We start from the raw sequence: 15,839 nt of genomic DNA, 5'->3' as shown, positions 1-15,839 counted from the left end.
CTCCCCTTTCCTTCTTTTCCCTTCCCTTCCCTTCCCTCCCTTCTCCCCCCGCCCCTGTCCTCTTCTCTCCCCTCCCCTTTCCTTCTTTTCCCTTCCCTTCCCTTTCCTTTTCCCCCTCCCCTCCCCTCCCTTTTCCTCCCATTCCCTTCCCTTTCCTCCCCTTCCCTCCCATCCCCTTTCCTCCCTTCTCCTCCTCTTCCCTTCTTTTCTCTTCCCTTCCCTGTGATCCTCTCCCCTTGTCTTCCCTTTCCTTCCCTTCTTTTCCCTTCCCATTCCTTTTATTTTTTTGCAATCATGTAATGACTACTGAGCACCATGCCAAGAACAATATGCATTCAGAGCCAAAATATTGTTAGTTTCAAAGAGCTCAGTGTTTGTGAGATTGAAAAATAAATAGGTGATTCTAATATAGGTTGAGAAGGGCTATAGTCGAAGCACAAACTGTTTCCTAAACAAAAAACTCCTAACCCCAAGTGAGCTGGGTGTTAGGGTAAGGGTGAGGTTAGGAATAGGTTTCTGTGCAAAGGAGCCCCTGAGCTACTTCTGAAAGAAGAAACTTAATTTAGATTAGTGACCAAGGGGAGGAAGAGCTTTCTAGGAAAAAGGACCAACAAATGCCAATGATTGCAGATAAATGTGTTTTCTTTTTGGGGAATACAAATAGTTTTGTATAGCTGGGGTTGAAGATGAGGGAGGTGGAAAAAGGGGTCAAGCTGAAGGGCAGGGGATGGGTGGCGGGGATAAAGTTCTGGTCAGGTAAGTAATGGTCAAATCATGATGGCTCCTGTGTGCCATATAAAGAAGTCTGGATTTAACCCTGAAGATAATGAAATCTGGATTTAACCCTGAAGAAATGAAATTCTGAGAAGCGAAGAATCACAGTCTGGTTAAATTCTAATGAAATTTTTAAGTCCCTTGTCGGCCTTCAGGATTCAGCCAAATGTTCAGAGTGTTGTTACACTCTTAGACTTCATCTGACCTATATGCTGTCTTTACTTTGCAGAAAGTAGGAGAGCAGTTGCTGAGTCAGCACCGCAGGGAGACAAGTGTGTAAGGAACATGGATTATTCATGGGCCCTGTGCACTGTTCCAGGTGCAGCCATGATTGCCGTGGACTGGGCCCATTTGTAATGCAAAGGCATGGCAAGAAAATCCATTTTCTCATTTTCAGAGACGATTTTATCTCCACGCTCCTGCCCATGTTACAAATTTAGGCTGATAAAGTGAAACAGGAGGCAGAAGAGCAAAGTGAAATTTCTGATGACTGTTTGCAAAAGGAATTTTTAGATACCAATTTGTGAACTCCTTTATTCAGAAGGAAATGATTCAGAGAGAATGTATCTTGAGTCGTGGTGGTATAAAACAATGAAGAACGGGTTTTGAAGTCAGACAAATGTGAATTTGAATTCTGTGACCTTGAGCAAGTCAGGTAGCTTATCTGCACCACAATTTCTTTATCAGTAAAATGTGAGTGATAATATTGTGAGAGATGGAATTTTTGGCCCCAATTTTTCACCTCTTCCTGGATCCTTGACCTTTACCTTGTGACTGTGAAGTTGCTTCCACTAGAGGCAGAATATACTTTCTAGTCCTTTTATTTTGGGTTCAGGCATGTGACTTATTTTGGCCAGTAGGGTACCTGGGGGTAGGGAGGAGGGAAGTAACCATGCAATAGGCCTCAATCCTGGCTTTAAAAGTTATCACATGTTTCTCTTTCCTTCTTGCACTTCTGCTATTGCTGTGAGAAGAACTGCCCTAGGATTTTACAGGCACCCCAGCTTGAACTTCAATGAAGCAAACTTGCACTCACTCCACAACAAGGATTCAAGCAAAGGGGAACCGGTAACTTGAATCAGAGTTGTTTGGCTGTGTCCCAGTTGACCCACAGATGTGAATAAGAGAGAAGAATTTTCATTTCAAGCCACTATGTTTGTGGTGACTTGTCATGCAGCAATAGCAAAATGATACAAATACTGTGATAGACTGCTTCTGAAATGGCTCCCAATGATCTTTCCTCATGATGGTCACTCCATAGTGTATTTTCTTTTCTTTGTATGTGGGCTGGTCTTGTTGATGTAGTAACTTACTTTTAACTAATAGAATATGGCAAAAGTGAAGGAATGGCACTCTTGAGGTTAGATTTTAAAAGACCATGACAACCACCTTCCTGACACCTTTTCTCTCTCTCTCTCTGCTTACTCACTCTGATGAAGGAATGTGCCATATGTGGAGACCTGCATGGAAAGGAACTGAGGATGCTCTCTCACTAAAAGCTAGAAGGAACTGAGGCCCTCAGTCAACAGTCTACAAGACACTGAATCTTGCCAGCAGCCAAGCAGTGAGCTTGAAAGCAGATCTATCATCAGCTGAACCTTCAGATGAGACCGCAGCCTAAGCAGATACCTTGGTTGCAGCCATGTGAGACAACCTGAAACAGAGGGCACAGCTAAGCCTCAGCCAGGTTCATGACCCTCTGAGGAAACTGTGAGAAAGCAAATGTCATTTTAAGCTATTTAATTTTGGAGGTAGTTTATTACACAACAATAAATAACTATTATAATTATCTTGAGGATTTATTTCCTGGGGAGAATACATGGAATTGCATATATAGGTCCTCATATGCAGAATACTGGTACCCTAGAGATGTTCACCCCAGAGATGTTTTAGGAACCTGTGAATATGTTACATTAAATGGCAAAGTTTTCCTGGATGGTTTAAGTTTAAGATGGAAAAGTTTTACTGGATTATCCAGTGGGTCCAATCTAGTAACATGAGTCCTTAAAAATGGAGAATATTTTTTGGCCATGATCAGAGAGACATGTGATGATGGAAAAAGTGTCAGAGATGCAATGTGAGGGGACTAAAACTGCTGTTGCTGACTTTAAAGATGGAGAGAGGGGAACCCGAGTCAAGGAATGCAAATGGCCTCTGGAAGCTGGAAAAAGCAAGAAATGGATTCTCCTTTAGAGCCTGTGGAATAAAATGCAGTCATGCTGACACCTTGATTTTACCTCAGTGAGACCAATACTGGAGTATGACCTTCGGAGCTGTAAGTTAATAAATTTCTGTTGTCTTATGCACTAGTTTATGGTAATTTGTTATAGCAACAATGGAAAATGGATACATAGCATAGCCTATTAGGACTTAGTGAATATAGGTTTTCTTTATCCTTTTTCTTTCTCCCTTTCCTTATTTTTGAAACAAGTGGATTTAACTTTGTATAAGAGCAGTTTTGTACAAACTTCATGGCATTATTTGAAGATTATGGGGAGAATATCTTTAAGCTCTTTGAAAAATGCCTGGCACACGGCAAGCAGTCAAATGTAAGCTATGATCTTTATGATTGTAATTGTTACTGTTATTATCCAGAGGCTCTGATTTCAATTCTCCATTCCACTAGGAAACAGAATATTCTTTATTCCAGTGAGGAACTATGATATAGCCAGCAGTGAAAAGTGTTGGACAGAAGCCTTTTTTTTTTTTCTGGAACTCCCAATGTTCAAACTTAAAATTTTTCTACAAAAAGTTTTGGGCCATTTTTTATAAACTTGTATGTTTCTGAAAAATAGCCTTAGTTGGAGGCATTTACTCTTATGGGTAAAAAGAAGTCTCAGGACATGAGAACTCTCCTCAGATATCTCATGGGCTGTCAAAACGGAGAAGGAACCAATTTTTTTCTGTTTGTTTGGTCTCATTGGGTAGAAGGAGTAATGGTAGATACTTCAGTGAACTGAATTAGAGTCACAGGAGCTGCAAAGGACCTGAAGGCTCCTATAAGGATACTTAATATGTGAAACCAGCAAAGACAAAATTAAAGTATGTATAATAATTCTATAAAGATGTGGTGGAATGCACCCTTTCAATTCCCAAGGAGACTCATTCATTCGATAATCTAGTCTAATGAAATAATGGTAGATGTAAATATGTATACAATGATTTTTTTAAAAGACAATGTTTACGTTGACACATAAAAATTTTATTGCACCCTGCCACCCAGCTTTGGCTCAGTAGATGGACCTCACCCCAGGGTTTTGATCCCAATTAGTGCTATTGTTCTTAGAAGAATATCTTATAACGTCAGGTGATGCAAAGTGGTTCACCAGATTGAGGAGCCCATGTGTTGTAAGAAGAGACTCGGTGTTTCTATCTGCCCTTCTCTAAGTCAGTGACCTGAGGCAACGTTTCTAACGAGCTGAATGTCTGTGTCTTCTTGCCTTTGTCCATGCTATTATCTCAGTTTCCCATGGTTCCTCACTGCTTAAAGGATAAAGTCTTGATTACACAGCAGGACATTAAGGGCCCCATCACAAACTGTTCCCCATCTACCTTTCTAGTTTTATTTCCTACCAAATCTTACCAGGCATTACAGACTCCATACGATTAGTCATTCATTTATCTCTTTCATGTCATTTAACAATATTTTACAGATTATAATGTGGCCATGTTAGTGACTCTCAGGGTATTACAGTTTAGTGGATGAAACAGACATTTAACAAATAATACAAAATAAAAATAGAAGTAAAATTGTGATGAATATCCTGAAGTTAGGTTATAACAGGGGACTAAGAGTAGCAGGAGACTGTATAATTGGGGGGGTGGGGGCTGGTCATGGAGGGGCTGAGGAAGCCCTTCAGAATTTTGTTGGATTGAGGCATTATTTTGTGTTATTGCTGTATCAACAAGGCCCAGTAACAGTTTTAGCACAGTGCAGGCATGCAATAAATGTGAATAAAATAAACGGATGAGTGAAAAAATTGATATTGACAAAGGATAAATTAATCTGCACACTGTATCATAACAAATTAAAGCACACACACACATTGTTTAGGAGCACATATTAATGTAATTAGATATTAAGTCATATTTTACAGTTTACAATGCTTTTCCATGCAGCATCTCAAAGAATTGTACATACACCAATGAATAAAATTCTTGTGTTTGCTTTGTAGAAAACTGAGACTATGAGAAAGTTGCCCAAGGTAACATATCTAATAAGGAACAGAGGCAGACATAATGCTTTGGTCCTCTGGTCTCAAATGTGGGGCCTGGTTCTTCTTTATTTATGAAGAAATAAGGGTGGGATGATTTCAATAATACAGGAATAAAGTGATGAAAATCAACACTTAAGTGGGTAAAATATTAAACAATCTTATCTGACTGAAGGAATAAAAACATTCTCATTGCATTGAAGAATCACAGGCTCAGATTAGGGAGAAAACCCAGAGGGGTGAGCCTGGCAGGTATAGCAGCTTGTCACCCAGAAACACCTGCCAATCCAGGAAGAGACAACTGAGAGGATGAGATGTGAGTCCAAGACCCATTGTGGATGGGGATCCACAGTAAACCATACACGCTTTGAACTGGGGACCTTAAGGCCTCCATTCAAGATGGGACAGTGAACCAGAAATAGTCTTTTGTCCTAGGGACTCAATCACTATAAACGGCCTAATGTGAAGTTTCATTGCTAGTGCCCCTAGCCACTGCCAGAGGCAAATCTAAATTCTCCTTGGAGCAGGAAACATCAATCCAAGCCTGCATTATTTCCATAATTAATATTTTCCTCTAAAATATTCAGAACTCAATCAAAAATAACCTGAAGGGAAGTGTTCCTTGACAAGTTAAATTTCATCTCTCAAATATCATTCTGTCCACGGAGCTTGGTTTTATCTTGAGGCCATTAACGGGCTTTCAGGAGGGGACCGTAATACTGAGGTACATTTTCTAGAGAGAAAACTCTGGAATCTCTAAGAAGACTGGGTTAGTGTTCAGTTAGAATTATTTTAACCAGCTTCCACTTAACCAATTGACTAACCAATTTAGAGGATTAAATACTGTCCCTCATTCCCTCTGTAAAACATTCTGATCGATATCAGGTGCTAGTACTTTCATGTACTTGTGCTCCAGTGAGTGGAGTTGTATGTTTTCAGAGTCACTTGGGTTACTTACCAAATTATTTATGCCAGTTACAGTTCTTAGTGTAGATGTATAATTTGAGTAAGTATTTTATAAGCTAATAAAATATTACTAAGAAAGGACAGTTTTTGTTACAATGAAAGTGGGTTGAACACTTCAGAACAACTCAATAGAGGTGCATACAAAAGAGTTACCATCAAATAAAGTATAAACAAGAGAACTATAATGATTCAGGAAATTTGCAAAATTTTGGAAGGATTCCATATTTAGATTATATCTCAAATATATATATATATATATATATATATTTTTTTTTTTTTTTTTGAGATAGGATCTCACTCTATTGCCCAGGCTGGAGTGCAGTGGTGTGATCTCTGCTCACTCCAACCTCCACCTCCCAGGTTCCAGCGATTCTCCTGCCTCAGCCTCCCAAGTAGCTGGAATTACAGGCACCTGCCATTGTGTCTGGCTAATTATTCTATTTTTAGTAGAGACAGGGTTTCACCTTGTTGACCAGGCTGGTCTAGAACTCCTAACCTCAGGTGATCCACCCACCTCGGCCACCCAAATTGCTGGGATTACAGGCGTGAACCACTGCGCCCAGCCATTTAGATTATGTCTCAAATATTTGAAAGTTTTTATTTAATTGGAAATTACATGAAATAAAGGATTCTTTCTGTTATGAAAGTTACATTCTAGCTTCCACTGGAATTCTAATACAGGAAAGATTGTCATATAAAATGGACTTATGCGTATGATATTACTACTTGTTAATAACATGGAGTAAAATGAAATACTGTCATATTCATAATATGGCATAAAATAATATACTGTTAAATCATAATATATTGTTTTATTTATTATAGTAATTATTGTATTATTATAATATACCAATAATATATATTAACTAAAAATGCTGTAATACTCTTTTTAATATTAATAATAAAAATAAAATATGCAGTATATTCCATTTTATCAGTCACTCCTTATATGAACACCATTTATCCTTAATGACTATTCCAAGGCTCATCAAAGAGTAGGCATTCAAGATTACCTAATGAATGAATAAGTCAAGTAATCTTTCAATATTGCAATGATTCTTCTCAGGTATCTCTCAAATTTGTCAATATCAATTAAAAAATGTGAAGCTCACAAACTGACACATTAGTTGTTGGTGTGCTCTCAACAGCAATGGCCCTATTTTCTGACAGAACTGACTTATAAGGCACTTGGTATCCAATAAACTTGTAAATCTGGTTTCTCAGAAACTGCTCTTATTCTAGGTTATTCTTCATCCTGAACTTGTGCAGTTAATTTTTAGAATCTCAGTAGAAGAGTCTGCATCAATTTATTCATTTTATAATTCCACAAACTTTTATAGAATGCCACTATGTATCACACACTGGCCTAATTATCTCCATAAATAGGCATTTTATTCATTTTGGCCTGTTCATTAAATTGCAGGAGTTATTTTGGAGTCTTGAGCCTATTATCTAAAATATTAGATATTTTTATCAACTGTTTGTCACCTAAAAATTTGACAAACATGTTATTTATGTAATTATAGAAGTCATTGAGGGAAGATGTTGAAAGGGACTGGACCAAATTAAAAGATAGTAGAAACCACTGGAATATGGCTTCTCGGCTGTCAAATTCTTATTCTCATCCAGTTGGGGCTGGATGTGGAACAATTATGACAAGGTGGAATTTCAGATATCCAATATGACTTAAGGATAGTGTGGTTCCTCTTGGTAATGTTTAAGAGGCTATCCAAGAAAAGAGATAATAAGGTCCTGTTCTAAAACGGACAAGGCCAGTGCCCAAGGGCATCTAAGAAAGAAGCAGCCAGGAACATAGCCAATGTGGGGAGAAGAAACTAGGAAAAGTGAGTTAGGCTCATAGAGATAGGCTCATAGAGGTAAGTCTTTAGAAATTCCCTAGGAAAACTGTAGGTGGTCATGAGAGATTTTTTAGAACATTCTAAGTTCATCTTGTGTGAGTGTGCTAATGTCTTTTCATGGAAGTAAAACTGGATGGAAATAGTTGACATTAACACACAAATCAATCATCTTTTTTTTTTTTTTTGAGACGGAGTCTTGCTCTGTCGCCCAGGCTGGAATGCAGTGGCGCGATCTCGGCTCACTGCAAGCTCCGCCTCCCGGGTTTGCGCCATTCTCCTGCCTTAGCCTCCCAAGTAGCTGGGACTACAGGCACTCGCTATCACGTCCGGCTAACACGGGGTTTCACCGTGTTAGCCAGGATGGTCTCGACCTCCTGACCTCGTGATCCGCCCGCCTCGGCCTCCCAAAGTACTGGGATTACAAATCAATCATCTTTTATATTGCCAAATCTGGTTGGGTCCTTACTTCATCTCAGTTACTGGGAAGGAGTATTAATTAATTGCAAGTGTAGGATTCCCTGCCTCCAGACCAAGGAACAACCAATCAGGCATTGTGTAAATATATTTCTAATCATACCCTGTAGATATAGAAAGAATTGGCACTCCCTGGCCAAAGGATTAAAGGGCTTTTCTGATGCTCTCAGCTGGCAACTAGCCCAGAATTGCCTTGTTCTCATGTCCTGGTCTTTTTTGCTTGGATTTCTTCAATATTAGGAATTTCTCTGTCCTGGTGAAAGAGTGCAGCTTTCTCATTGCCTTACCCCTGGGTACTGGGACAAGGTGTAGGTGGAAAAGTTCTAAAATGCATTAATTCTACAAACATTTATTGACCACTGACTGTGTGCCAGGCACCCTTTTAAATGTTTGTGGTACACCACTGAGAAAACAGAAAAAGAATCCTGCATTCATGGACCTTTACCTAGCAGAAGATAGATAGTAAGCACTAAAAGCAATCAAGAAGTAAAAAATGTATTTTCTTAGAAGGTCATAATTACTATGGGAAAAAGCACAATAGAGGCACAAGGGAGATAAGAGATGTTCAGGAGCTGGATGGACAGATTGTTGTATTAAGTAAACTGACCAAGGAGGCCTCAATGAGGTGACATTTGAGAAAAGTCTTAAAGGTGAAGGAGTGAGTCATGAAAATCATTTGCTAGAATCCCAGGCAGAAGGAATGAAGTAAAGGCCCTGAAGTGGGAGTGAGACTGGCACCTTGGCAATGAGCAGAGTCAGTGACGGGGAGTAATAGGAGTCAGAGAATTAATGAGGGACCAGGCTATGTGGGTTTATAGGCTTTGTAGGACTTTGGGCTTTTACTCTGAGTGAAATGGAGAGCTGTTAAAGTGGACAGTGGAATGAAATGATCTGACTCAAGTGTTAAAAGGATCGCATTGGCACTTGTACTGAGAACATACTATAGGCAAACAAGCCTGGATGCAGGAACATCTACGAGGAAGTTGTTGTAAGAGTCCCAAGAAAAGTTTTTGGTGCTTTGGTTGGGGATGATAACAGTAATTAGAACTAGCCAGATTCTCGGTGCATTTTGGATGTAGATCTGACAGGATTTCCTGGCAGATTGGCTGTTACATGAAAGGAAAGGAATGTCAAGCATGACTTCAAGGTTTTTGACATCAACAACTGGAAAGATTAAGTTGTTAGAATTGTGATGGGAAGGACTGTGGATGGAGCAAGTTTCAGGGGGAAAACAGAATTCAGTTTTGGACATATTGATTTTGAGATGCTTGCCAGACATCCGAGTGGAGATGTTTGAGTAAGCACTTGGATACATGAGTATAGAGATGAGGATAGAGGTCTAGATGTTTGAGTAAGCAGTTAGATTCATGAGTATGGAGATGAGCATAGTGTTTTCTTTATTATGGAGAGCTGACTTTTCTGTTTAATACCACAGCAGTTTTCTAGGATGGGAGTTGGGAGGAAGTGGATGCAACTGGCATTTTTTATCTTGTGACTTGTGTCTGGATGGGATATGTGTCTGTGTTGAAATCTTCTACCTTTTCCCCTCTCTGCTTCTGAAGTTGCAACCCTGTCAGTCCTCAAAGGTAATACTTCTCTGATTCTTGATATTTCATCTAGAACTGCTTTGAACTGATGTGCCTCTTGATGTAGTCCCTGAAGCAGCTAGTTTCACTCCATATTTTTGCTATTTTCTTGAAAATTCCTTCCCCTCTTCACTATTTCTCTTCATTCCCAGAAAAGCTGGATCCACTGACCTAATGGTTATGACAACAAGGAGTTAATAGCAATAAGTTTGTTGTTAACTCCTTGTATACCACCAACTATTATTATGGTGTTAATAACAGTTATAGCACCAACTATTATTCAATGTTATAGCAAATTCCGAAGGCCTCATCTTGTTCACAGGTGTATCATGAGAGGCTTTGTAATGTGGCATTAGACTTTGTTACATGACAGATTCTGGGATATTTTGTTACATGTCAGAGATCATGTTACATGTCAGGTTCACTTTCTCTATGGTATTATCCTGAGGTTTGAGAGAATCTATTCCAAGTGAACCCATAATGGTTCCATGTGATCAACTTACTTTTTCTGCATGCTAATAAAATATGTTTATGACCATTTCTCTTGCCAGGAATAAAATTATACGTACACATCTTAATTTCTTGGGATTTGATTACTTCTTCTGCTTTGAAATTAGACCAAGTTTAGCCTGCCTTTGCTATTTTGGCGTATCTCCAATTCTTCATGATTTTCTCATGTAAGTATGAATTTGAAATTTTTATATGCATAGATTTTCATTAACACTATGTCATATTCAGAGTTGGCAAAGGATGTCATTTTTGAGAAAAACATAAAGACTTTTCTAGTAGAAAAAGAAGCCTGAGCGGTTTTCTGACATATGTTACTATATTTACAAAATAAACTGGTTTTAGAGATCAGTTTATAAATTTGACATAAGGTTTAGTATTTCCATTCTATTTCTTTATACTTTTAGTTTTATTATGCAAATGACACAGGAAGCCACAAGATTTTTAGTCATGGACTAGCTGTGAATATATACAGTAAATCCTTTTCTATGCATTTTGTGGTTTAGTTGAAAAAGTGTGGCTTTGGGTAGAAAATTGAGGATTGAATCCTGTTTCTGCTTACTGACAAATTCTGTAACCTTGGAGGTCACATGAATTCTAGTAAACTTCTTTTCATCATCTGCCAAATAGGGATAATTATAAATGTGCCACAGGTTGTTGCCTTTTATTCATTCAGCAAAGTTATTGAGTATCTGCCATAAGCCAGGCACTATATGATAGACATCAAGGATGAAACATGAAAGATATAACCCAGGCCCCCAGAAAAATCACTGTCTCAGAAATAAATGTGTAAACACACTAATAAAATTGAGTGTGGTCATTTCTGTAATAAAAGGATTATATTGGAAATGTATCCTTTTACTGTACATAAGAGGTTTTGTTTGGCTGAAGTCTATAGAACAATTCTAGATTCTCTTCATATTTAAAGGTCTTCAACTATATTAAGAACTAAAAATGAAAAATTCTTACCAAATAACTTAGCTACCATGCAGACATGTAAAATACAACTGAAATGTATGCTCTGGCTGTGTTAGAACTTCTTTGAATAATAAAGTTACTGATGAAACAACAATCTCCAGTCTTTACGCGGTTTAAAGCAAGCTACAAAGTCAACCTCAAAACATGAGAAGATGATATGAAAGATTATGTAGTATGATAAAATATTTGGGCTGATAGGTTTCTTTAGCCTCTCAAAATTTAGAATAAAGTGGATAAATCTAGTGGACTTAAAGATCAAGAATATATACTTTGAAGCCAAAATGCCAACATTCAGTTCTGTCTCTGTTTTTACTAACTGCATAACCTTAGAGAAGTCAGTTAAATTATTTGTACTTCCTCAATTTCCTTCCCTGTAAAATGGAGAGAATGATAGGGTTGTTGTGAGGACAAAGAACAGTGCCTGGAACATAGTAACTACTATATAGGTGTTTCCTATTATAATAGTATCAATACCAATAATAACATTGAAAATCGATAGTACTAAAAATGAATTTAGTATTCTTTAGTTAAAGATTTTGCATTCAAATTCCAGGCAGTATAACCCATAAAGGAAAATACATTAAGATCACAAAGACTGGAAATTAGGAAGTAAAACTACATTATTTGCAGATGATCTGATCATCTACTTTGAAAGTTCAAAAGCATTTTACAGGCAAAATATTAGAAATAATAAAATATTTTAGCACAATAGCTAAATCAGTATTAAAAAAACTCTATTGCATTTCCATATACTAAAATAAATATTGGCCCCAGTTCCCCAGTTGTGTTATTAAATAGCTATAAGACCTTGGGTAAGTAGTATCACCTTTCTGGTCTTGGCATTTGATCTATCTGTAAACTGAGGGTGTTTTGTTCAGTCTCTGCTCTGGTCCCTGCAGTTCTAGTGTATGATGGATCTCCAGATGTTTCTGCCTTACCTCACCTTGTCGGTGGTGCCTTTTAATTAAAAAAAATTCTCTGACATTTGCTAAGTGAAAAGTGTTGTTTTACATGATAATTTTGATATACTTTTTTTGATATATGCCTCTACTAAGTTTATAACTTAGTAGCAACTGAAATATAAATGATACCTAATATTTTCTTAGCTAATCAAAGGTAACAAAGTGTTTTCATTTGTATAATGAAATATTTCGTGAGTATTTAACAAGTACATAAGAACGTGAATACCAAACAGGATGTATTAAACTCAATAAAAGAGGTAGAAATTGAATAGCATTTGGGGAAATTTCTAGCTAACAGTCACTTACTGGTCACTCATGTTTATTTCCCTTTTCTTCCTTGGATTTTATAAAATTATAGTACAGAATTAAATTTTTAAACCGCCCCCCAAAATTATCAGCCCATGAGGATACTGATTTCTTCTGCATTGTTTGCTTATGTATCTCCAGAACCTAAAAAGTACCGCATTGCTTGTGGGCACTTAATAAATGGTTGTTGCATGAATAATTGAACAACACAAAGAAAACAGATGAGGCCATTTGAAGATGAGATATTTCAACAAATACACAAAAGACAATGCAAGTGGGAAAGTCCAGTTTTAGTTATATGGCAGATTAGATAATCTAATTGACCCTTTTGCTGAAAACAACTAGAAGCTACAGGTTTTATGTGAGTCTTTTTTATTAGCTATCAAGAAAGGAAGGAGATGAAAATCAACATGAAAATAGGAACTCAGAAAGATAAACGTAGCTCTGCTTACTGCTTTTGCTCTGAAGGTAATTGACGAAGACTGGTAACCTTAACTTGCATGGCTTTGAAAGCATCATGGACAAGAGATCAAGCCTAATATGAGGACTTTTCCCTTCTTATAACTGAGAATGCCTTGCAGTGAATTGTTTGATGAAGTCTAAACTTCCTTACTCTGAGAAAACAGCAAGGAGAAGTGTCTTAATCTTTTGTGTTTGTTGGGGAAAAAAGCTATCTATCCTAAGAATATTAACTAAAAATTAGCAATGATTGAAATGTGTAGGCAAAATTGACACCACCTGAGTTGCTAAAAACAAAACAAACAAACAAACAACAACCTCTCAATTTGATAACTAAGTTAAAAGTGTCCTAGATTTATAGTATCCAAAAATGCTTGACAGAAACAAATGTCACAACTCTTTGCAGAAGTCCTTGAACTAGGCTTAATAAATATCTAGTTTCAAGGAATATAAATTCTCAGTTAAAAATTAAAAAACACTGAAGCAAATGAACACCATGACAGCTGGCAGAAACTACAGATAAAAGAATCAGACTGAACCTAAAACACTTCAGATATTACAATTATTAGGGAGAATATAAAACACATAAGCATAAACCTGTTTTCTGTGTCTAACAAATGATTTAAAAATTCAGAGGCTTGCCAAAATAAGAATTATTATATTTTTGCTAGGGATTTGTAGGTAGGGTATGGCTTTGCTTGGTTTTTATGAGAGCTGATGGGATTTTCTGAGCTTGAGTTCAAGTTGAAGGTTGGCTTTAGGTCTGTTCCATGTGCTTCTTATTTTGGGACTCAGGTGAAAGGCATAGCAGCTACATGGGGCATGCTTTTCTTATGGTGGGTTGCAGTAGTGCAAGAGACCAAGCCAAGTAAGGCAAGCACATTTAAAACCTTGCTCAAACACAGCATATGTCATGTCTGTTCACATTTCATTGGAAAAGCAAGTCATTGCCAACTCCAGCGTCAATGGTGCAAAGGAGAAACCTCCTGCATGTTTCGGGAAAGAGGAGAATGAATATTTCATGAACAGCAATCCAATTTACTAAAATAAGCTTAAATAAGGGAGGATATTAAAATATTAATTATGAACAGACTATAAAAATGACCAAGCAAATTTGAAAAAGAACCCAAGAAATGTATAAACATGGAAAATAACATTTACAATAAAGATTCAATGACAATTTTATAGCACATTAGATATAGCTGAGGAGAGAATTAAACTAAACTATATATCTGAATCTGAAGCAGCATAGGGAAACTAAAAGATGAAAAAATGTAGATAAGAGGAGAAAAGACATGGCTAGAGTGAGATATAACAAATATTTGGTCAGAGAAGAAGAGAAGAGAGAATGAGGAAAGAAAATGTTTAAAGAAATTTTGGCTGGAAATTTTCAAGAACTTAAAGAAGACAAAAATTATCACATTCAGGAAGCCTAATTAATTTCAAACAGGATAAATGAAAATAAATCTACACCTACATCCATACTGCCAAAACTGGAGTAAAATTCATATTCTAGTAAAATTCCAGAGCATTAAAGAGTCAGAAAATATATTTAAAACAGCCAGAGGAAAACAGACTACCTACAAAAGAATACTAGTAAGTCACTCAGCTGACTTCCGAATAGCAACAATGGAAGGCGGAGGACAGTGGGACGACATTTTTCATATACTGAGGGAAAATACTTATCAACTCAGAAGTGTATAACCAATGAAAATATCTTTCAACAATAAATGCTAAGTATAGTTATCTTCAAACAAAATCTTAACCAAGAGATCCTTATTACAGGAAATTCCAAACTTCAAGGAAACGGAAGTTATCTTTTTTTTTTTTTTTTTTTTTGAGGTGGAGTCTTGCTCTGTCGCCCAGGCTGGAGTGCAGTGGCACCATCTCGACTCACTGCAAGCTCCGCCTCCCAGGTTCATGCCATTCTCCTGCCTCAGCCTCCCGAGTAGCTGGGATTACAGGCGCCCGCCACCGTGCTTGGCTAATTTTTTGTTTTTTAGTAGAGATGGGGTTTCACTGTGTTAGCCAGTATGGTTTTGATCTCCTGACCTTGTGATCCACCTGCCTCGGCCTCCCAAAGTGCTGGGCTTACAGGCATGAGCCACCATGCCCGGCTGACAGAAGTTACCTTTAATCAAAGGTTGAGTTATAAGATGAAATGATAAGTGACAATAATAATTGATAACAAAATAAACATTGATAGTGTAAAACAAAAATATTTTAGCAGAGTTAAAATAAAACAGTGGAAAATGAAAACACATGGCAAATACTCTATATAAATTTGGTGAGTAGTGATAGGAAGAAGCATAAAGTTATCGATAAAATTAGGACTTTGGAAAACTAAGTATGCATGTTACATTTCTAGAGTAAAAACTAAAAAACGAAATGTATAGAGTATAGAGAGAAAAATCTGAATGAGAGAAATAATCAGTGTAAAAGTAGGCAGGAAAAAAATTAAAAGAAGCATAGAAAAGCCCTGCCAAACAGAAAGTACACAATAACATCATAGTAATAAATTGAAATAAATAATTGTTATGGTAAATGTAAATAAACTAAACTCCCCTTTTGAAAGACAAAGATTATGAGGGTGGCTATGTATACAAACCTAAGATAAATACAGTTTACAAGGGCCATCCAAAGTACATAGACATGAAAGGCTGACAGTTAAGGAATGGAAAAAGAGAGATCAACAGACATGGAAATGAGTCTCTGATATACTAACATCATTTGTGGTATTTGAAAAAAATTCAC

At 37.2% G+C, this 15,839-nt stretch overlaps 1 long non-coding RNA gene across 1 annotated transcript in view; it reads left to right on the top strand.

Moving 5' to 3' along the window:
• The window catches only part of LINC01748 (long intergenic non-protein coding RNA 1748), a 106,970-nt gene that overhangs the window by 24,099 nt on the left and 67,032 nt on the right, over positions 1-15,839 (top strand). Inside the window, exons 3-4 of the long non-coding RNA NR_146508.1 lie at positions 2,214-3,049; positions 10,425-10,550. This is a non-coding gene — a long non-coding RNA (long intergenic non-protein coding RNA 1748). The remainder of the gene's footprint in view (positions 1-2,213; positions 3,050-10,424; positions 10,551-15,839) is intronic.

The sequence above is a fragment of the Homo sapiens genome, chromosome 1 (assembly GCF_000001405.40).
Source record: "Homo sapiens chromosome 1, GRCh38.p14 Primary Assembly".
Classification (NCBI taxonomy): Eukaryota; Metazoa; Chordata; class Mammalia; order Primates; family Hominidae; genus Homo; species Homo sapiens.
This window is presented reverse-complemented; position numbering and strand designations above follow the sequence as displayed.